This window comes from Homo sapiens, chromosome 1 (assembly GCF_000001405.40).
Source record: "Homo sapiens chromosome 1, GRCh38.p14 Primary Assembly".
Taxonomy (NCBI): Eukaryota; Metazoa; Chordata; class Mammalia; order Primates; family Hominidae; genus Homo; species Homo sapiens.
The window spans coordinates 54,932,078-54,954,863 of NC_000001.11; the positions used below are offsets into that span (position 1 = coordinate 54,932,078).

The 22,786-nt window shown below is 45.4% G+C and overlaps 1 long non-coding RNA gene across 2 annotated transcripts in view, besides 1 other annotated feature; it reads left to right on the forward strand.

The window, feature by feature from the left end:
- Positions 1 to 22,786, forward strand: part of LOC124904184 (uncharacterized) — a 72,878-nt gene that overhangs the window by 30,913 nt on the left and 19,179 nt on the right. The window lies entirely within an intron of this gene.
- Positions 18,833 to 18,882: an enhancer, noted in NCBI's record as "active region_1068". NCBI's record gives its function as "activates an Ori minimal core promoter by ATAC-STARR-seq in GM12878 lymphoblastoid cells {active_cell/tissue: GM12878}" and the evidence as "EXISTENCE:reporter gene assay evidence [ECO:0000049][PMID:35858748]".

Genomic DNA, 22,786 nt, shown 5'->3' on the forward strand with positions numbered 1-22,786 from the left:
GGTGAAACCCCATCTCTACTAAAAATACAAAAATTAGCCAGGGGTAGTAGCAGGCGCCTGTAATCCCAGTTACTTGGGAGGCTGAGACAGGAGAATTGCTTGAACCCAGGAGGCTGAGGTCGCAGTGAGCCGAGATTGTGCTACTGCACTCCAGCCTGGGCAACAAAGAGTGAAATTCTGTCTCAAAAAAAAAAAAAATATATATATATATATATACACACACATATATGTGTGTGTATATATATATGTGTGTGTGTATATATATGTGTGTGCATATATATGTGTGTATATATATATATATATAAAATTCAGCTGGAAGTATGGGCAAGTCATTTGGCCCATACCATACCTCATGTTTTGGGGAGTATATTTCCTCTTCTGTTTCACAGCCTTTTTGTTTTGATTTTGGGGTTCTGACTTGAGCTAATTTTTTGTCAAATTCAAGTGTGTCCTTAAAAGTTAATATAGGTTGTTTTTTGTTTGTTTCTTTGTTTGGACATGTTTGGAGCAGTTCTCTTTGTTACTTCATCAGCTAGCTGATTTCCTCTGCTTTCTGGAGTATCTGATCTGGAATTACCTGGAATTTTACTAGTGGCCAGTGACTGTGGTAATAATATGGCTTCTAGTAGTTGTGAAATAAGATGTCCATTTTTTATGCATTGATCCAGAGAGGTTAAGATCCCTTTTTGTTTCTATAACATTTCAAAATCATGGGCTACTCTAAAAGCATACCTACTGTTTGTATAAATATTAGTGGATATTTCTTTTGCCAACGGGCAGGCCCTAATTAATGCTATTAATTCTGCTTGTTGAGCCGAGGTGGCTTCCAGAAGATAGGCACTTTCCATTTCTTCAGACACCATAGTGTAATATGCACAGGAGATTCCAGATTCATCCTTCAAGTAAAATCTATCTGCATTTTACTACAGCATTTATAAGTGGGAGTGTCTTATAGTTCTCACCTGAGAGAAAGAAATTGATCAGTTGTGTTTAGGCAGTCATGTGGCATTTCATCTGAAAATGAAGGCAAAAGTGTTGCAGGTTTTAAATCGTTACACCTAGAGATGGTGATATGAGAGGCTGACAGAAGCAGGACCTCATATGAAGCCAGTCGGCTAACCAAGTAATGTTGAGTATGATATGAATTCAGCAATGCTGCAACAAAATGAGGGACAAAGATAGTAAGAGATGTTTCCGTTACAATTTCTTCAGTTGTCTTAATTAACACAGCAGTGGCTGTTATGGCTGTCATACAAGGTGGCAATCCTCTTGCTACAGGGTCTAATTGTTGGCTATAATACTCTATGGGTCTATTTTGATCTCTCTTTTTGAGTTAGGACCGCTAAAACATTTCCATCACTTTTATGTACAAATAAGGAAAATGGAAGGTTATAATTTGGATGGCTCAAGCCTGGGCATTAACAAGATCTTTTTTTTTTTTTTTGAGATGGAGTCTTGCTCTGTTGCCCAGGCTGGAGTGCAGTCATGTGATCTCGGCTCACTGCAACATCCACCTCCCAGGTTCAAGAGATTCTCCTGCTTCAACTTCCTGAGTAGCTAGGATTACAGGCATGCACCACCACGCCTGGCTAATTTTTTGTGGTTTTAGTAGAGATGAGGTTTCACCATGTTGACCAGGCTGGTCTCAAACTCCTGACCTCAAGTGATCCACCTGCCTTGGCCTCTCAAAGTGCTGGGATTACAAGTGTGAACCACCACACCCAGCCCACAAGATCATTTTTGATCATTTATAACATTAGCTGATTTTCTTCTGTCCAGTCTAGAGGGTCTGGTATATCCTATTTTAAGACTGCATATAAGGGCTGGGCTTTTGAAGAAAAGTTTGGAATCTAATTTCTATAATATCCTTTCAGTCTCCAAAACCCTCTTAACAGTTTCTTGGTACTTGATGGAGGAAAAGCTAAAATTCCTTTAAATCTGACTGGAATAATAGAAAATCCTTCCTTGGATATTAGGTAGCCTCGGTACTTCATTTGTTTTTGACAAAATGGAAGCTTTTCTTTAGGATTGTATTAGTCGTCTTCGTGCTGCTGATAAGGACATTCCTGAGACTAGGCAATTTACAAAAGAAAGAGGTTTAAGGGACTTAGAGTTTCACATGACTGGGGAGGCCTCACAATCATGGTGGAAGGCAAGGAGGAGCAAGTCACGTCTTACACGGATGGCAGCAGGCAAGAAGAGAGAGCTTGTGCAGGGACACTTTTGTTTTTAAAACCATGAGATCTCATGAGACTTATTCACTACCACGAGAACAGCATGGAAATGACCTACCCTCATGATTCAGTTATCTCCCACTGGGTCCCTGCCACAACACGTGGGAATTATGGGAGCTACAAGGTGAGATTTGGGTGGGGACACAGAGCCAAACCATATCAGAAATCTTATGACCATTTAGGGCCAATTGTTCTAACAGGTATATTCCATTTGCTGTGGAAGCTTGTTTGTTCTCTGAGCAAAGAAGTAAATTATCTATGTATTATATGAAGACAGACTTCTCAGCTGGGCGTGGTGGCTCATGCCTGTAATCCCAGCACTTTGGGAGGCCAAGGCAGGTGGATCACTTGAGGCCAGGAGTTTGAGACCAGCCTGGCCTTTAGTAGAGATGGGGTTTCTTCTGTACTAAAGAAACCCCATCTCTACTAAAAATACAAAAATTAGCTGGGCATGGTGGTCCATGCCTGTAATCCCAGCTACTTGGGAGGCTGAGGCATGGGAATCATTTGAACCTGGGGGGCAGAGGTTGTAGTGAGCCGAGATCACACCACTGCCCTCCAGCTTGGGTTATAGAGTGAGACTCTGTCTCAAAAAAAAAAAAAAAAAGAAAAAAGAAAAAAGACAGACTTCTCTATGAAGTCAACATCTGAGGAGGTCTGTTTTTAATATTTGTGGAAAGTAAGTTGGGCTTTCAGCATATCTTTGGGGCATGACTGTCCAAGTGTATTGTTTGTTTTCCCAAGTGAAGGCAAAGAGAAATGAACTGTCTTTATCTACAAGAATGTAAAGAATGCACTGCATAAGTCTATGACTGTAAAAAAAAAAAAATCCTGCACTGGATGGAATAGTTGTGAGAAATGTATGAGGATTAGGCACTACTGCATTCTGTGGAATTACTCTGTTGTTTACTGTTCTTAAATCCTGTACAAACCTTTCTTCTTTACCATTTGGTTTTCTTTCTTTCTTTCTTTTCTTTCTTTTTTTTTTTTTGAGATGGGGTTTTGCCATGTTGCCCAGGCTAGTTTCAAACTCCTGAGCTCAGGAGATCCTTCTGCCTCAGCCTACCAACGTGCTGGAATTGCCTGAGCCACTCAGCCTCCCAAAGTGCTGGAATTGCCTGAGCCACTGCACCTGGCCCCATTTGGTTTTCTTACCTGAAGGGTTGGTATATTACAAGGGCTTGTGCAAGAAATGATCAATCCTTTTTCTATATAATCTCACATTATAGGTTTTGTTCCTTCTAGGGCTTCAGTTCTCAAGGAATATTGTTGGATATTTGGAAGTGATTTTGATGACTCTATTTGAATTTTTATTGGAGTAGCTGAAAAAATAGTTCCTATATCAGTGGAGGACTTTGACTATAATTGATCAGGTACTACCTTTAGTTAAAGTTTTGTGATTCTTCATTGCTTAATAATTCAGTGTCCTCAGGCTGAGGTGGGAGGATCATGAGGTCAGGAGATCAAGACCATCCTGGCTAACACGGTGAAACCCCGTCTCTACTAAAAATACAAAAAATTAGCTGGGTGTGGTGGCGGGTGCCTGTAGTCCCAGCTACTCAGGAGGCTGAGGCAGAAGAATGGCGTGAACCCAGGAGGCAGAGCTTGCAGTGAGCCCAGATTGCACCACTGTACTCCAGCCTGGGCAACAGAGGGAGACTGGGTCTCAAAAAAAAAAAAAAAAAAAAAAGAAAAAAGAAAAAATTCAGTGTTCTCAATGGCAAGGTGGGTAGCAATTGGATTAGATTTTGAAAAATTTGCTCTGTTAATTCTGTTTTATCATCTATAGCATTTAATTCTAAATACATTTCCCCTTCCAGGAGAAAGAAATATGGGTATTGTATAGATCTAAGGAGTTCTTTCTTTCTTTCTTTCTTTCTTTCTTTCTTTCTTTCTTTCTTTTCTTTCTCTTTCTTTATCCTTCTTTCTTTTTTTTTTTTTTTTTTTTGAGACAGAGTCTTGCTCTGTCGCCCAGGCTGTACCGCCACCACACCCGGCTAATTTCTTTTTGTATTTTTAGTAGAGACGGGGTTTCACCATGTTAGCCAGGATGGTCTCAATCTCCTGACCTCGTGATCCACCCGCCTTGGCTTCCCAAAGTGCTGGGATTACAGGCATGAGCCACCGCACCCAGCCTCCTCTTTATCCTCCTTTCTCTGTCTTTCTTTATCCTTCTTTCTCTTTCTTTCTTTTCTTTTCTTTCAAAAGAAATATGGGTATTGTATAGATCTAAGGACCTTCCTTCCTTCCTTCCTTCCCTCCTTCCCTCCTTCCCTCTTTCCTTCCTTCCTTCCTTCCTTCCTTCCTTCCTCTTTCTTTCATTCTATCGCCCAGGCTGGAGTGCAGTGGTGTGATCTCAGCTTACTGCAGCCTCTGCCTCCCAGGTTCAAGTGATTCTCCTGCCTCAACCACCTGAGTAGCTGAGATTACAGGCACCTGCCACCACGCCCAGCTAACTTTTGTATTTTTAGGAGAGATGGGGTTTCAATATGTTGGCCAGGCTGGTCTTGAACCCCTGACCTCAAGTGATCTGCCCGCTTCGGCCTCCCAAAGTGCTGAGATTACAGGCGTGAACAACTGCACCCTGCCAGGAGTCTCTTTCTATCCGATTAATGGGGGCTGATGAAACCAAAAGGAAAACATGAATTTCCTTGTAAGAGACCTAGTTGAAAAGTTACAGGTTGAGACTTGTATGCTGATACAGGAGTATTTGTGACAGCCACTATTTGGACCAAGTTTTTACTTCAAAGAATGGGACTTTGTAATAAGGTGGATTTATTACAAATAAAGTTGCTCTAGTGTCAGTGAGGGCTTGGGATTGTTCTCCATTTAAAATAGTTTCTATTTCTTCCAGAGTGCCAGTAAGGAAAAATAAAAGGTCCCTTTAAGTTCCTTGGAGCACCCCTATTTTCCTCCTTTGCTGTTGTTGTTCCTCCTGTTTCAGTTTTCAGCATCTTTTTTTATTTTAAGTGGCCAGTTTTTTTTTTTTTGCAGTAATTGCATTTGGAAGGTTAGATCTGTTCAGAGATTTGTTGGGATATTTTGTCAGTCTAGACTGTGTGGATAATTTAGGTTTTTTTCTTCTTTAGTTAAAGTACAAGACAACTGGTCAGCAGGGTTAACCAAATTGTGAGTTTGAGAAATGCCCCAACTAGGGCATTATCCCTTTACTATTAGTGCTAATACTTTATTGAGCCCTTTTATAAAGTTGGAATTGAGGAGAGTATTATTTTGATGATTAACATAACTTGCCTCAAATAAGCCTGACTAGTGTCTAAAAGTCTTTTCAAATCTTTCAAAGCATGACATTACTGACTCATCGGGTTTTGCTGACATTGTTGTATTTTATTTCAGTTGACTACCTTTTGGAAGATGAAAGGAATGGCTGCATGCAGAGCCCTTGCAGTTTCACAGGCATTCCTGCAGTCTTCTTGTGAACAGTGATAGAAATCCTCTAGGGGGTTTCTCCAGTGGGCTTTATCTAGCCAATCTTTAGCCTTACTTTCTGAAACTAACATGTGAACTAGTTGATATCAATCAGAAAACCAGGGTCATAAGCTCGAATATGTAGTTCAAATTCCCGACAAAACCAGTAGGGTCCTGATGGGGTCAGGAAGTTCCTTAATTATGCCTTTAAGTTCTGTCTTTGATCATGGTTATTAAGCTAAGGCAGGTTCTCCCCTACCAGACACTGGCTGCTTGCTGAACAGAGCCAGAACAGCAGGGGCCAGAGGAGGAGGAAGAAGGAAAAGAAGGTTAAAGAGGAAGGAAAGGCAGGTCAAGGAGAAGCTTCTGAGGGAGAAGAAGATTCAGCAGCCTTTTAAAATTCAGAAATTGTTTGACAATCTTTTTTCTTCCTGCAAAGAAATAACTTTATCAGAGTCTCTTTTAGACACCTTCAAATACTACTGGAAATAACTCTCCCAATTATTCTATTTTATCCTAGAGCCAGCTTTTTCTAATTGAGCATGCAAATACATTAGTTTAAGCATTTCAAAGGTATTCCATTTTCCTAAATAAGGGCAAGAGATGGTGCCATAAGTATGGATCACGAGTCTAGCTGGAGTTTCTAAAGGCGCATCTCTCCTTAAGGAACACTTGGTATTAGATGGCAGATTGCCTGCTATTTGTATTCTCCTCTTAAGGGACCAAAGGTTGAAAGGGAAAGATATTTTTAATCATGTGTACTGCTTATGGGAATGGCTTCCCCCAGGGGTCACCCTTGGGTTGGTTCTTCCCTCTTACGTGCCTTGGTAAAACCCCGGAATTCTGGGCATTTAAAGCACTGGGAGATCAGCCCCTTATGTATGCCCATCAATTTAAGCAAATTTCTCTGCATGTTCTTCTTTGGGGACTCCTTATGGGACCATTTCTCATCATAAGCAATAAACTCTGACACTCCTATGAGACCTTAGTCACCTAAGGTGTCTTTTGGCCAGAAGGATCTGTGTCTCTCATATTTGTGACTTATCATGTCCTCATAAACTTCTTCTATAAATTTTTCTATTCTTTCTTTTTATGAAAGAAGAATCTAAATGTGGCAATTTCAGCTGACCTTCAAAATCTAGCCAGCTTAACATCACAATTTTGCTTAAGCCACAGACATTTACTTCCTGTTAAAGAGCAACTGCTTTCTCTTTAACCAAATTTCAAATGAGAGAAAAGTTCATAAATTGTATTAGTTTGTTCTCACATCGCTATGAAGAAATACCTGAGACTGTTTAATTTATAAAGAAAAGAAGTTTAATTGACTCACAGTTCTGCATGGCTGAGGAGGCCTCAGGAAACTTAAAATCATGGCGGAAGGGGAAGCAGACACCTTCTTCACTAGGTGGCAGGAGAGAGTGTGAGAGCACGGGAAAGACTACCTTTTATAAAACCATCAGATCTCGTGAGAATTCACTCACTATCATGAGAACAGCATGGGGGAAACCAGTCCCCATGATTCAGTTATCTCCATCTGGTCCCACACTTGACACATGGGGATTATTACAATGCAAGATGAGATTTGGGAGAGAACACAGAGGCAAACCATATCACAAATTTTAGCAAGTAAGACAGACAAAACTTTAACTTCAAGGAAGAGTAAAACCACAAACCTGCCTGCAACAGAATCTCTAAATAGGTAGCAAAGAGAACCCATACCTTAAAGCTTTAAAGTCGAGCTTTCAATTCCATCCCCATCAAGCATGCAATCAGGTCACTTGAATAAAATCTGAATTCACCTAAGCCGGGGAGAATCGAAACCCACGGGGGGCTTTGCCAAGAACTTTTGCAAACTTCAGCAAAAGTTGGTTGGATAGGAACAGTGTGTGCAGGTACCAGGGCCCCAATCTGTCTGTGAAGCAGCAGGAGTCAATGGAAAGAGACCACCTTGGGTCCCATCTGAATCATCAGAATGTCATAGAGAAATAATCAAAAGGATCAGAATCTAGTTTAAAAGAGTTAATTCAAGCGCAAAGCTGAGGATGACCATCTGGGAAACACAGACTCTAAATGGAATGGGGCCAGTGTCCCTAAGCTGAAAAGTGGGGGTCTTATTTAGATAGGCAGAAAACAAAGAAATTAACAGGTATACAACATTTTTCATACAAGCCTGGTTTATGGGTTACAGAAACATATGATTAGTGATAGTTTGTTTTCTTTTGATTTTACAATTTAAATGAGTATCTTTAACACCCCATTTAGACAATGTGATAGTTGTGAGATCTTTGTGTAAGAGAAGTCAAAGGGAAATTCATCTATAATGAAGATCAACAGTGAAGAGGAAAGGGTCTTCTCTGAAGCACTTTTTTTTTTTTTTAAATAACTTTTTACAACACAAGGTAGGCAAAGAAAAGGCTAATCTGCAACAGAAGAACAAAGGTTATAGCTGTCTAGGTTACAGCTTCCTAAGTTACAGCTTCCTGTCACATGACTCAGGCCCCATAATAACATTCCTTTAAGGCTCAAAATAAAATTCCAACAGCTTTGACTTTGAATTACTTACTTTTACAATAGGAAGGTTATCCAGATGCTGAGCAGCTATTGGATTTTTAATATTCATCTTCCTTAATTTCATACTGAATGCACAAGGCAATTTAGATGAGAGGGATTACCATTAGTCACTTAAAAAGCAAAGAAGGATCACTTGGCTCCCTCCATCCTAATTCTTACCACAGAGATGACACAATGACAGTCAGAAAAATCTCCTACACATAAAAAGTTGTATCCTAGGAGAGGAATGAACTTAAAAAGAATTTTCTCTGCTTATAAAAGGGAAGGAGCTGTCACTTGCCACTCCTGGAAGGGTCTCCTCAGAAACCACAGGGCTTGAGTCCTTATCACAACACTTTGGCATGAAAGTCAGCCTTTCTAGGAGCTAGGTAAACTGAGTCTCCATTCTTCCTTGAAATGTAAACACATTCCTCCAGAATTAGGTAAATGCCTTCAGAGTTCTCTCACTATCTATACAATTGCAAATAATTTTAAGATTTGCTCTTGTGGGTCCCATGTTTCAGGAAAATTTGCTCAGAAAGCCCTAACTGTACAGAAATACAAACATATTTTATCTATACTATACAGCAACCAAAGTGACAAATGTCTACCATATCCCTAAGCATTCATGGCACCCATATGGCACCAGGCTCTGTGTTGAGCACTAGGGATAGGCAAGGACTAAGCCAGGATCCCTGCCCTTAAGGAGCACTCAGGTTCTCAAGGGAAGGGCAGACATTGCTGTAGACCCAGTTTAAGTACCAGCTTGTATCTGCTCAGCCCACTTGTCTTGCTTCTTGGCCAGAGTGGCCTTAGTGATAATGCCCACCTCATAGTGGTCTTAAGGCTGGGATGCTATTGCCACAGACTGAGGAACCCCCATGTCAGTGACAGTTGACAAGGAGAGACTATTGGGCATCTTCTTCCAGAAGAGCCCAGTTTCACCATGGTTGAAGACTTGCTTTGAATGGTGTGCTTTCGCCTTAATCAGCTTCTTGAACTCTGCTGGAAATGTGGCAGCAGCTTCTTCATCAGCAGATGCAGCCTCTCCAGTAATTTTTATATTTCTCAGTCCAACCCATTCCTGAATCTGTGTAATTGTCCCTTACTTGCAGTAAATGGCCTGGCGTCACTTGTTTCAGGAGATCACTTGCTGAAGTCTTTGTATAGACCATGCTTTCTGATACAACAAATTGCCTTCAGTGGGAACACATTTCTGTTCATATCTTCCATCCACAAATTTAATGTATTTTTCATCTTAACTAAGCACTTACCATGCACTGTAGCTTATCTTTTGCAATTTAAGGTGTGACGGCAAAACTACCACAAATTTCTCTTCCTTTCTTCCTAGTTTCATGGATAGATTTGTTCTTAACAAAGATTTTAGCAGCATCAGCATACTTTTTTTCTTTCCTTACTATATCGAGAACTTTCTTCTTCTCACTTAAAGGAAGCACTCTCCTCACAGGTCTCCCTGAAGCCATCGTGCCCACTCCAATTCATCCTCCATGTGGCACCGAGTGGTCTTTTAAAATAAAGCATCTGATGCCAACCCTCTGTCTAAAGCCCTGGTTTCCCATTGCTCTTAGACAGACCTGGCCTATGAGCCCCCAAATGGTCTGGCTCCTGCCCCACCAACGTGGCCAGATTCCACTTGCCCCTTCCCTTTCTCTCCATGCTCCAGCCATCTGATCTTCTTTCAATATCTCGAACAGTTCAGATTCCTTCAGTCTCAAGGTCTTTGTACATACCATTTTCTCTCTCATTTAGACATTCTTCAGAACTCAGCTCAAAAGTTACTTCCTCAAGGAAGCCTTTCCTGACATTGCCCACATTAGAACTGGCCCCTGTTATTTGCTTTTGAGGCCCTGATATGGTTGGGCTGTGTCCCCACTCAAATCTCATCTCGAATTCTAGCTCCCATAATTACCACATGTTGTGGGAGGTACTTGGATCATGGGGACAGTTTCCTCCATGCTGTTATCATGATAATGAGTGAGTTCTCAAGAGATCTGATGGTTTAATAAGGGGCTCTTCCCCCTTCGCTCATCTGCCTTCTCTCTCTTTCTCTCTCACCTGCCACCATGTAAGTCATGCCTTTCACCTTCTGCCATAATTGTGAGGCCTCTCTAGCCACATGGAACTGTGAGTCCATTTAAACCTCTTTTTCTTTATAAATTACCCAGTCTCAGGTACGTCTTTATCAGCAGCATGAAACTGGACTAATACACTAAATTGGTACCAGGTAGGTGGGTGCTCTGTAAAGATACCCAAAAATGTGGAAGCAACTTTGGAACTGGGTAACAGGCAGAAGTTGGAACAGTTTGCAGGGCTCAGAAGAAGACAGGAAAATGTGGGAAAGTTTGGAACTTCCTAGAGACTTGTTGAATGGCTTTGACAAAAATGCTAATAATAATATGGACAATGAAATCCAGGCTGAGGTAGTCTCAGATGGAGATGAGGAACTTGTTGGGAACTGGAGTAAAGGTGGCTCTTGCTATATTTTAGTAAACAGACTGGTGGCATTTTGCCCCTGCCTTAGAGATTTGTGGAACTTTGAACTTGAAGGAAATGATTTAATGTATCTGGTGGAAAAAATTTCTAAGCAGCAAAGCATTCAAGAGGTGACTTGGGTGCTGTTAAAAGCATTCAGTTTTAAAATGAAGTAGAGCATAAAAGTTCAGAAAATTTGCAGCTTGATAATACAATAGAAAAGAAAAACCCATTTTCTGAGAAGAAATTCAAACTGGCTGCAGAAATTTGCATAAGTTACGAGGACCCAAATGTTAATCGCCAAGACAATGGGGAAAATGTCTCCAGGGCATGTTAGAAACCTTTGCGGCAGCCCCTCCCATCACAGGCTGAGAAGCCTAAGAGGAAAAAATGGTTTCCTGGGCCACGCCCAATGCCCCACTGCTGTGTGCAGTCTAGGAACTTGGTTCCCTGCATATCAGCTGCTCTAGCCATGGCTAACAGGGACCAAGGCACAGCTCAGGCTGTGGCTTCAGAGAATGCAAGCCCCAAGCCTTGGCAGCTTTCATGTGGTGTTGAGCCTGCAGGTGCACAGAAGTCAAGAACTGAGGTTTGGGAACCTCTGCCTAGAATTCAGAGGATGTATGGAAACACCTGGATGTTCAGGCAAAAATTTTCTGCAGGTGTGGGGCCCTCATGGAGAACCTCTGCTGGGGCAGTGGTTCTCAGTGGCCCCCTGGCACAGAGTCCCTACTGGGGCCCTGCCTAGTGGAGCTGTGAGAAGAGAACCACTATCCTCCAGACCCCAGAATGATAGATCACCAACAGCTTGCACCATGCACCGGGAAAAGCTGCAGACACTCAACACCAGCCCATGAAAGCAGTCAGGAGGGAGGCTATACCCTGCAAAGCCACAGAGGCAGGGCTGCCCAAGACCATGGGAACCCACCTCTTGTGTCAGCATGACCCGGCTGTGAGACATGGAGTGAAAGGAGATCATTTTGGAGCTTTAAGATTTGACTGCCCTGCTGGATTTTGGACTTGCATGGGACCTTTAGCCCCTTCATTCTGGCCAATTTCTCCCATTTGGAATGGGTATATTTATCCAATGCCTGTACCCCCATTGTGTCTAGGAAGTTACTAACTTGATTTTGATTTTACAGGCTCATAGGATAGGAGGAAGGGACTTGCCTTGTCTCAGGTGAGACTTTTGACTATGGACTTTTGAGTTAATCCTGAAATGAGTTAAAACTTTGGGGGACTGTTGGGAAGGCATGATTGGTTTTGAAATGTGAGGACATGATATCTGGGAGGAGCCAGGAGTGGAATAATATGGTTTGGCTCTATCCCCACCCAAATCTCATCTTGAACTGTGGCTCCCATAATTTCCACATGTTGTGGGAGGGACCCAGTGGCAGATAATTGGATCATGGGGGCAGATGCCCTCATGCTGTTCTCATGATACTGAGTGAGTTCTCTCAAGATCTGATGGTTTTATAAGGGGCTCTTCCTCCTTGGGTTTGTCTGCCCTCTCTCTCTTTCTTGCCTGCTGCCCTGTAAGACATGCCTTTCACCTTCTCCCATGATTGTGACGCTTTCTCAGCCATGTGCAACTGTGAGTCCATTAAACCTTTTTCTTTATAAATTACTCAGTCTTCGGTACGTCTTTATCAACAGTGTAAAATGGACTAATTCAGGCCCCACTTACAGTTTCTTCATTGAATTTATCTGTTTGAAATTATATATTTATATGATTATTTGAATAAGACCCATCTTGGCCAGGCACAGTGGCGCACACCTGTAATCCCAATACTTTGGGAGGTTGAGGTGGGTGGATCACTTGAGCCCAGGAGTTTGAGACCTGCCTGGGCAACATGGTGAAACCTTATCTGTACAAAAAAAAAAATGCAAATAATTAGTTAGGTGTGTGGTGGTGTCTGTCTGTAGTCCCAGCTATCAGGGATAGCTGATAGTCTCAGCTATCAGGCTGAGATGGGAGAACGAGCCCGGGAGGCTTAGGCTGCAGTGAGCCATGATTGCACCACTGTACTTCCACCTGGGCAACAGAGACACTGTCTCAAAAAAAAAAAAAAAAAGCCCCATCTCTGGCTCCAGACTCTAAGCTCCTGGAGGCTAAGGACGGCTCTGTTTTGCTCACCATGGATTCCAGTCCAAGTAGAGTCTGGCACAAAGTAGGTACCTGGACTGATCCCTCCATGAACGAGGAGGGGTGGAGTGGGGTTCCTGAGTATTTCTTCAGTTACAAAAGACGTAAGTCATGGCCACGGATAGAGTCATGGGCTATTGCAAGCAACAGGGATTGTAGCTTTGGTTGGAATTATAGCTCATTGTGAAGACACTGGTGACCTCTCACTGTTTGTTACTTGAGTATATCTTTTATTAGTGGAATAGGAAGATAAGTTTACTAGGATTAAATCAATTCAGACGGATTTCACCAAGTCTTTTAAGTCATTGAGCTCTTGGGGTTAAAAACGAAAGCTCTCCCTGTGAGGCCACAAGGTGGCAGCACAAAGCAGCAAGTCAAAGAGCACCCAGCTCCACTGCCTTCTTGAGAGGACCGGATGAAGACACTGGGCTGACCACCTGGGACAGAAACTAGGAAGCCTGGGTTCTGCCATCTTTGGCTTTAGCCAGGATTCCAAGAGACAGACATTTAGCTGCCTTGCGCCCCCACTTATCTACCCCTACAGTTGGAATAATGGAATTATTCCATTCCTACTTCCCTATTCATTCATTCATTCGTTTGCTCGTTCATCTTTGAACAAACATCCAGAGACCCTTAGGTCTTGGCTGGGCACCGGGGACCCAGTGAGTAAGACCAGCCCTGCCCCTCCACAGTGTGGGAAGTGCTCTGACTGATCACTGGGCAAGGTGCGAGGGTTGCACCACAGGGCAGGAGGAGCCTTGGGTGTGGCAGGGCATTGGTGGAAGCCCAGGGAGATCCCACAGAGGGGTGGGGTGGGGCAGGGCTGGCATAGGCAGCAGAGGCTTCTGTGCAAGCAGGAAAGAGGGAGAGAAGCCACAGGTGGTGGCTAAGGGTGGTTGCAGTCTGAGGGGGAGAAAAGGGAGGTGGGAGAGGGGCTAGAGAGGTGGCAGGGGCCAGGTCACAGAAGCTCTCCGGTTAAGGTGCTTGGCCTGTTTCCTGTGGAGGGTGTGAGGTCCCTGAAGAACTCTGATGAGGGCTTTGTGAGAAGAGAGGGAGACAGACCTCCAGCATTGAGCTGGGAGACCAGGAAGAAGCTGAGGTTACTGCATCATCAGTCATGGGCTAAGTAGTAGGCACCTGGAAGAAAAATGTTAGAAACTAGAATGCTCCTGGGGTTTTCTGTAACACAGAGGTTACTTGGACAAGATCAAATGGTGAACATGCTGTGTGTGTGTGCACGAACATGTGATTGATGACCCCCATCCTTCCCTCTGGTAGCCCGTGCCTGCCCCAGTGGGTCCAGGGAAGAGCAGAGCAAAGCCCTTCCTGCCTGCTCATCAGAGCTGCCCCAGGCTTGAACACTGGGGTGAGTGAATGCAGGACAACAAGTGTGCTTACTGCCAGGGAAGAGAAGCTGAGCCTTCGGACTGGACTTGGATCTGACCCCCCAACTCCACCTTGAACTAGCTGGGAGAACTTGGGCGAGACTCTGCCCCTCTCTGAGCCTTGGGTCCTTCTTCTATTAAATGAGGAAATTGAATCTACTTCATGGAATTGTTGAGAAGGACCCAGCCCATGGTAGATCTCTAAATATGGGTAGTTTCCCACCCCTTCCGCCCCTTCATTCTTCCCCACCCTCACCCATTCTGACGATGCTGGCAGCCAGCTGGGTGGTGATTCAGGGAGACTGTGGCTAATGCAGCTCACCTGTAAGGGATGACGTTCAAATCAGCCCAACAGACTGGCCTGACGGTCACTGGGCCATGATGGGGAGGTTTGGAGATTGTTAATGCACCTTGGGACTCTGGTCTTCCATGAGTTGATGCTGGGCTTTGCACCCCTCCCCCAACCCGAAGAGCTTTTGGGGATTTCTTTCCTTTTCTTTTCTTTTTCTTTTGAGATGGAGTTTCGCTCTTGTTGCCCAGGCTAGAGTGCAATGGTGTGATCTTGGCTCACCGCAACCTCCGCCTCCCGGGTTCAAGCGATTCTTCCGCCTCAGCCTCCCGAGTAGCTGGGATTACAGGCATGTGCCACCACACCTGGCTAATTTTGTATTTTTAGTAGAGACCGGGTTTCTCCACGTTGGTCAGGCTGGTCTCGAACTTCCGACCATCCGCCTCGGCCTCCTAAAGTGCTGGGATTATAGGCGTGAGCTACCACGCCCGGCCTTTGGGATTGATTTTCAAAGCTAACTTTAGTGTTCATTTTAGGAAACTAAGGAGAAGAGAAACAAACTCCAGGCTCCTATGATGGAGGCACTGCTTGTAAAAGGGCACATACAGACCTCCCAACCACCCTAAGATGTAGGCGCTGTTAAAACCCAATTTAGAAGAGGAAATTGATTTTTTTTTTTTCCTGAGACAAAATCTTTCTCTATTGCCCAGGCTGGAGTACAGTGGTGCCATCTCAGCTCACTGCAACCTTCGTCTCCTGGGTTCAAGCAATTCTCTCTGCCTCAGTCTCCTGAGTAGCTGGGATTACAGGTGCCTGCTGCCATGCCCGGCTAATTTTTTTGTATTTTTAGTAGAAGTAGAGTTTCACCATGTTAGCCAGGCTGGTCTCAAACTCCTGACCTCAAGTAATCTACCCACCTCAGCCTCCCAAAGTGCTGGGATTATGGGTGTGAGCCACCGCGCCCGGCTGAGAAGAGGAAATTGAGATGCAGAGAGGGGAAGGTGTATCACTGGTAGGATTGCCCAGCTGGTGAGGGGTGGATTCACATTTGAAATGCACATCTGACCACAATGCCTGTTTCTAGCCGAAGAACAGATCCAGGGCCTGGCTCCTCGAAATCAGGACCTTTGAGAGGAAGAAGAGCTGCCCATCCTTGCCTGCTTTCATTTTGCCACAGAGTTAAACAAGGCCCAGAGAGGGCAAGTGGCTTGCAGGGTTACACAGCAAACTATGTGGTGGAGACCACACACCCCATTCAACTGCCATACCCTCCCATCTCCTAGTCTTAGACAACTGTCATTAAATACTTTGTATCTTTTTTTTTTTTTTTGAGAGTCTTTTTTTTCGGAGTCTTGCTCTGTCGCCCAGGCTGGAGTGCAGTGGTGTGATCTCAGCTCACTGCAAGCTCCGCCTCTCAGGTTCACGCCATTCTCCTGCCTCAGCGTCCCGAGTAGCTGGGACTACAGGTGCCCGCCACCACACCTGGCTAATTTTTTGTATTTTTTTTTAGTAGAGACGGGGTTTCACCAAGTTAGCCAGGATGATCTCAGTCTCCTGACCTTGTGATCCACCTGCCTCGGCCTCCCAAAGTGCTGGGATTACAGGCGTGAGCCACCATGTCCGGCCAAGACTTTGTATACTTTTAACTGTGAAGAGAGCCCTCCTCCCCTTACTACCAGACATAAGTAATGCAGAGAAAGGACCCAAGAGGGTGAAAAGGAGTACTTGGCAGGGAGTGATGGGGAGAAGGGGTGAGGCACTTCCTTGGTTTCTGGAAAGGAGAAATGACAGTGCTTTTTATTCTTGCCTTCTTAATGAGAAAGCTTTCGTAACAAACTGGTGGCTTCTCAGTGTGTTTGCAGCTGCTCCAGGTTATGTGGAGATTGTCTGCCCTGCACACAATGACGTCAAGGTTATAATGTCTGCACAACAAACCCACTGAGTCTGCCAGACAGGGTGGTTCTACATCGCTGGGGTGCACAGGGACCAGCCTAGAAGAGGCATGGTTGGGACAGGCCCTGCCATATGTACCTTCTTTCCTCTGTTCTTTCTCATGCATTCCCTGCGAGCCAGGTGAGGGCTGGGGTGGGATACTGTATTCGTCTTTTTTTTTTTTTTTTTTTTTTTGAGACAGAGTCTTGCTCTGTCACCCAGGCTGGAGCGCAGTGGCGTGATCTTGGCTGACTGCAAGCTCCACCTCCCGGGTTCATGCCATTCTACTGCCTCAGCCTCCCCAGCAGCTGGGACTATAGGCACACGCTGCCATGCCCAGCTAATTTTTTTGTATTTTTATTAGAGACGGGGTTTCACTGTGTTAGCCAGCACGGTCTCAATCTCCTGACCTCATGACCCACCCGCCTCGGCCTCCCAAAGTGCTGGGATTACAGGCGTGAGCCACCGTGCCTGGCCTGTATTAGTTTGTTTTCACACTGCTAATAAAGACATACCTGAGACTGGGTAATTTATAAAGGAAAGAGATTTAATAGACTCACAGTTCCACATAGCTGGGAAGGCCTCACAATCATGGTGGAAGGCAAAGGAGAAGCAAAGGCATGACTTACATGGCGACAGGCAAGAGAGCGTGTGCAGGGGAACTCCCATTTATAAAACCACCGGATCTCATGAGACTTATTCACTACCATGAGAACAGTATGGGGGAAACCACATCCATGATTCAGTTAGCTCCACCTGTCCCCACTCTTGACACGTAAAGATTATTATAATTCAAGGTGAGATATGGGTGGGATCACAGCCAAACCATATCAGATACAGAGGTGACAGGGCAGGGCCTGCTCTTTTGGAGCTCACCCTCTGCTCCCCTGCACATGCTGGCCCAGGAGCAGATCCTGCTTTAGGAGGTCTGAGGTGGGGTCGAGACTGTGGTCTCCAGACACACCTTGAGGAGCAAAGTTCTAGTGGCTATGAATTAAAGATCTTCTGGGTACCAAACACGGGGCACTTAAAAAAAATAGCTTCCTTATGACTGGGTGTGGTGGCTTACACCTGAAATCCTAGCACTTTGGGAGGTTGAGGTGGGAGGATTTTTGAGGCCATGAGTTCAAGACCAGCCTGGGCAATATAGTAAGACTATGATTTAAAAATTAAAAAAAACTTCTTTACATTTTTGCTTTTTTGAGATGCAGTCTCGCACTGTCACCTGGGCTGGAGTGCAATGGCATGATCTCGGCTCACTGCAACCTCTGCCTTCCAGGTTCAAGTGATTCTCCTGCCTCAGCCTCCAGAGTAGCTGGGGTTACAGGTGCCCGCCACCACGCCCAGCTAATTTTTTGTATTTTTAGTAGAGACGGGGTTTCCCTATGTTGTCCAGGCTGGTCTCGAACTCCTGACCTCGCGATCCGCCTGCCTGGGCCTCCCAAAGTGCTGGAGTTACAGGCATGAGCCACCACGCCCGGTCATATATATTAGTTCTTATATTCCCTTTATATATCCATCTTGTACATTTTCCCTATTTTCCTCCCTTTTAGTCATGTCCTGGAGTTGGAAACTTGCCCTGGAGTGTTTCAACAAGGAAATTTCCATTGCTCATATTTCCCTTCCAAAAGGTTGACTCTGATCACGGTGTGGAGAGCTGGTGCAGGCCTGTGAGTGGGGGGGGCTTTGAAGCTGTCCAGGGCAGACATATTAGTGGCTTGAACTAGGACAATGAGCAAGAGGGAGAGAAAGGGAGGGATGCACAAGTTATTTAGGCGTGGTAATGGTGGGGCTGGGTGTAGGACGAGGAGGATCCCCGGGGGTGGAAGTGAATGTCATAGCTAGGCTCGTGGAACTGGGAGGAGGGAGCTGGAGCAGGGAGGGGGATGCGGCCCTCGCAGGAGCACAGGACATGGCTGCCCCTGGGATCAGCCTTGGCAGATGGCCAGACGGCCAGTGCTCAGCACAGAGCCTGGCATAGTGGCTGCGGAATGAGTGAAAGCTGAAGTTCTGGACCCTGAAAGAAGGAAGGAGAAGGAAGGGCATGGCAGGAACCACCAAGTAGGCAGCTTGACCACATCGTGCCTGAGAGTGCCTGACAGTGCCAGGTGCCTCGGCCCCGGGCCATGAACGATCGTTTGTGAGCCTTCTGAGCTGCAGGCGGGCGACTGAGAACAGCCTGGCGGGCTGAGCCCCTGGCCCTGAGGACGCAGCCGTGTATTTTTTCCCCTGTGGCTCACGGGGCCTGGGAAGCACAATGTCCTCCATTACCGCAACTCCTCAATTAGACATGTGATGGCGGAACTCATCACTAGGTGGCGCTCATAGGCTTTTTGTATTTTTTCCCATCCTTCTGTGACAAAGCTGGGATTCTTGCTGTGTTGCTGAACAAACAGAACCCTGACTTAGTCTTCACAAGTTACGAAACTGACCCAAGGGCTGTGCTGTTTTCAATTCTACCATGCTGCAACTATCCCTCCCGCAGCCTGGGAAACAGGGTAGGATTCCAAGAACAAATAAAGGCCCTCCTTCAACAACCCCATGGCATCCGCCAGCCGCCCAATAGTGCCGGACTCTGACCAAGCGGTGAGACCTCGGGCAAGTCATTTTGCAACCGTCCAGTGGATTCACCTTGCCCGCTGCATAGACACAGCCGATTTATTAAGACAGGGGAAATGCAGTGGAGAAAGAGTAATTCATGCAGAGCCGGCTGTGCGGGAGACCGGGGTTTTATTATTACTCAAATCCGTCTCCCTGAGCATTTCGGCGTCAGAGTTTTTAAAGATAATTTGGCAGGTAGGGGCTTCGGAAGTGGGGAGTGCTGGTTGGTGAGATTGGAGATGGAATCCTAGGGGGTCGAAGTGAGTTTTTCTTGCTGTTTTCTGTTTCTGGGTGGGATGGCAGAACTGGTTGAGCCAGATTACCAGTCTGGGTGGTGTCAGCTGATCCATCGAGTGCAGGGTCTGCAAAATATTTCAAGCACTAGTCTTAGCTTTTACAATAGTGATGTTATCCCCAGGAGCAATTTGGGGAGGTTCAGACTGTTGGAGTCAGAGGCTGCATGACTCCCTAAACGGTAATTTCTAATCTTATAGATAATTTGTTAGTCCTGCACGGGCAGACTGGTCCCCAGGTGAGAAGGAGGTCTTTTCGGGAAAGGGCTATTATCAATTTTGTTTCAGAGTCAAGCCATGAGCTGAATTCCTTCCCAAAGTTAGTTCGGCCTACGCCCAGGAATGAACAAGGACAGCTTAAAGGTTAGAAGCAAGATGGAGTCGGTTAGGTCTGATTTCTTTCACTCTCATAATTTCCTCAGTTAAAATTTTGCAAAGGTGGTTTCAATTTAACCTCTCAGAACCAAGTTTTCTTCAAGTGGGAAATGGGGATAATAATCATTCCTCTCTTGTCCTGAGTTAAGATACATGTGAGAAAAAAAAAATCATAGAGTTCGTGGGAGAAGTAAGAGCAAACAGAAGCAGTACTGTCAGAAGCATTTGAACCAGAGCAATTCCATCTTGAATAGGAGCTGGGTAAAATTAGGCTGAAACCTACTGGCCTGCATTCCCAGAAGGTTAGGCATTCTAAGTCACAGGATGAGATACGAGGTCGGCACAAGATACAGGTAATAAAGACCTTGCTGATACAACAGGTTGCAGTAAAGAAGCCGGCCAAAACCTACTAAAACCAAGATGGCCATGAGAGTGACCTCTGGTCGTCCTCACTGCTACACTCCCACCAGCGCCATGACAGTTTACAAATGCCACGGTAACGTCAGGAAGTTACCCTATATGGTCTAAAAAGGGAAGGCATGAATAATCCACCCTTTGTTTAGCATTTCATCAAGAAATAACTATAAAAATGGGTAACCAGCAGCCCTTGGTGGGCTGCTCTGTCAGTGGAGTAGCCATTCTTTATTCCTTTACTTTCTTAATAAATTTGCTTTCACTTTACTGTATGGACTCGTCCAAACTCGTTCTTGCATGAGATCCAAGAACCCTTTCTTGGGGCCTGGATTGGGACCCCTTTCCTGCAACATCTTTCTGGAGACCACAAAAGGACAATACTGAGGAAACCCCTGACCCAAAGGCTAACTTTGGATAAGTTGTGGGGTCCAGGAACACTACTGTATTTTATTAATAAAATGTTTTTATCAGAGCCTCCAGAACCCAGCCCTGCACTGCCACCTTGGTTGGATTCCTCCAGCCACATTTACAGAGCTCACACTCCCCACCTGCCCCCATGCATGCTGGAGGGAAGGGAGAGATAAAGGTGATGCTGTGGCTGTCTCAGGTGCCCGCAGCCTGTAGGAGTCTCCCTTGAGGATGGGTCCTCCCTGGGCATAGAATTGTGAGTGACGTCCCTTAGGTCTCACAGTCAATGTGTGGGCTGTCTAGGGCCGCATCCTGAGTGTCCTGACTTCAGCTCTCCAAGACAGAACAGGATACCTGGCCAGGATCTGTTAACACCTTGGCATTAGGTTGGCTGGTCCTGGTGAATGGAGGCCACAGTTTGAACTCCAACATGGGAATTTACAAGAAAACAGTGTCCAAGTGCTTCCAAATGTCACATGGTTTCCTGCAGGTCTAGGCCTTTGCAAAACCATAACAGGAGTCACTGTCCACTTGATGACTCAGGGCCTCCTGGACAGGAACCACGTGATGTACCTCTCCTTGAATAAAGTTCCCAGGAAGGGTTTACCTCTGTGCACAAGGTTTAGTCTGGTTTTTCTTCTTTGGAGAGAGACACCAAGTGAGCCTGGCTTTTCCTCGACTCTGCTAAGCCAGAGAATGGCTGGAAGTCAGGTTTGGCTCTGGTAGTTCTCAGATGCCTGGTATCAGCAGCTCTCTCTGTCTCTTTCCAACAGGGATCTCCCCACTGGGAAGTATAGCATTGTGGCCGTGAGCATGTGCTCTGAAGCCACACTGGGTTCAATTCCCAGCTCTACTTCTTGTTAAAGCTATGTCCACTTGGTTAAGTGACTTAACTTTACTGTGCCTCAGTTTCCCCGTCTGTAAAATGGGTTGCTCTGAGTATTAAATGAGTTTATTTTGTAAAGTGCTTAGAACAGTGCCCATTATATAATAACTGGTATGTAAGTGTAGGCTGTTCTGTGTCTCTTCCAGTTGTCTTACTTTGCCCTCTAAGTAGAGATGCAATAGAGAGTGAGGGACACAAACATTAATAAGGCAGCATGATCTCTGAAGCACTTTACATATGTAATTCGTGAAGCTCTTAATATTCATACAAGGTAGGCACGCTCACCCGCATTTGGCTTATGAGGATACAGAGTCTCATTGTGGGGAAGTAATTCTTGCAAGGTCACCTCTGCTGTGGGGAAGCTTCTAAGACCTCAGCACCCTTGGTGGGGCATTCTCTTCTGACCTCCTTGTCTCCTGGCCCAAGGCTGCTAGGCCCTCAGCTGTCTCTCAGTTCACTCCTCACTCTAATCTGTCTGGTCTTGGAGTCAGGACAGTCATCAGGAGTATTAGAGTAAATACACTGCTTGCTCTAACAAATAACCTCCGCTCTCAACACTTACCACACTGGAGATTACTCACTCACATCACAGTTTAATAAAAATCAGGTATGGTGTGTGGGGAGAATCCTGTTCCACACAGTCACTCAAGGACTCAGGATCCTTCCATCTAACGGCCTTGCCACCTTTGCCACCCTCCAAGGGCTCAGAGTGCCCCCCGCCTCAGGTCCTCTGCATTTGGTGAGCCAACAAAGGAAGAGGGAGAGCATAGAGGCTTGGAGGGTGGCCTATGAGGAGAGAGACTGTCTGCTTCATCTGAATCTCACTCCTGCCCAGGAGACATGAAATGCATGCTTGCTAAACTGAGGGGCTCATCATGGGGAAACTTGAAGGACACCTAACTCTGCCTGGGAAAGGTGGGTAAGTGTTCAACAAAAAGGGGACATCTTAGTCAGGTCTTGAAGAGTGAATAAGAGTTCTCTGGATAAGGAGGAGGGAAAGGCATTCTGGGCAGGAGGAACAACGTGTGCAAAGACACATCAGGAAAGTGCCCGGCAGGCAAAGGCAGGACAGGTAAGGAAACAACAGGCAGAGTCATGGAGTGTGAGGTGGGGGCTGCAGGGAGGAGGCTGGAGAGGCAAGCAGAGCTGGACTTTGGAGGTTTCTGTTCCTCCTTGCTTTCTATCCTTCAAGTCCCAGCCCCAGGTTCCTTCCCCAGGACTCTAAGATGTGGGAATCCCTCCCTTCTGTCCTCAGAAACACTGATGTTCAGGGCATTTTAACCTGGAATGATCCAATGTGACCTTCACAGCAGCCCAGTGAGGTGGAAAGGACATAGGTAATTATAGTCCCCAT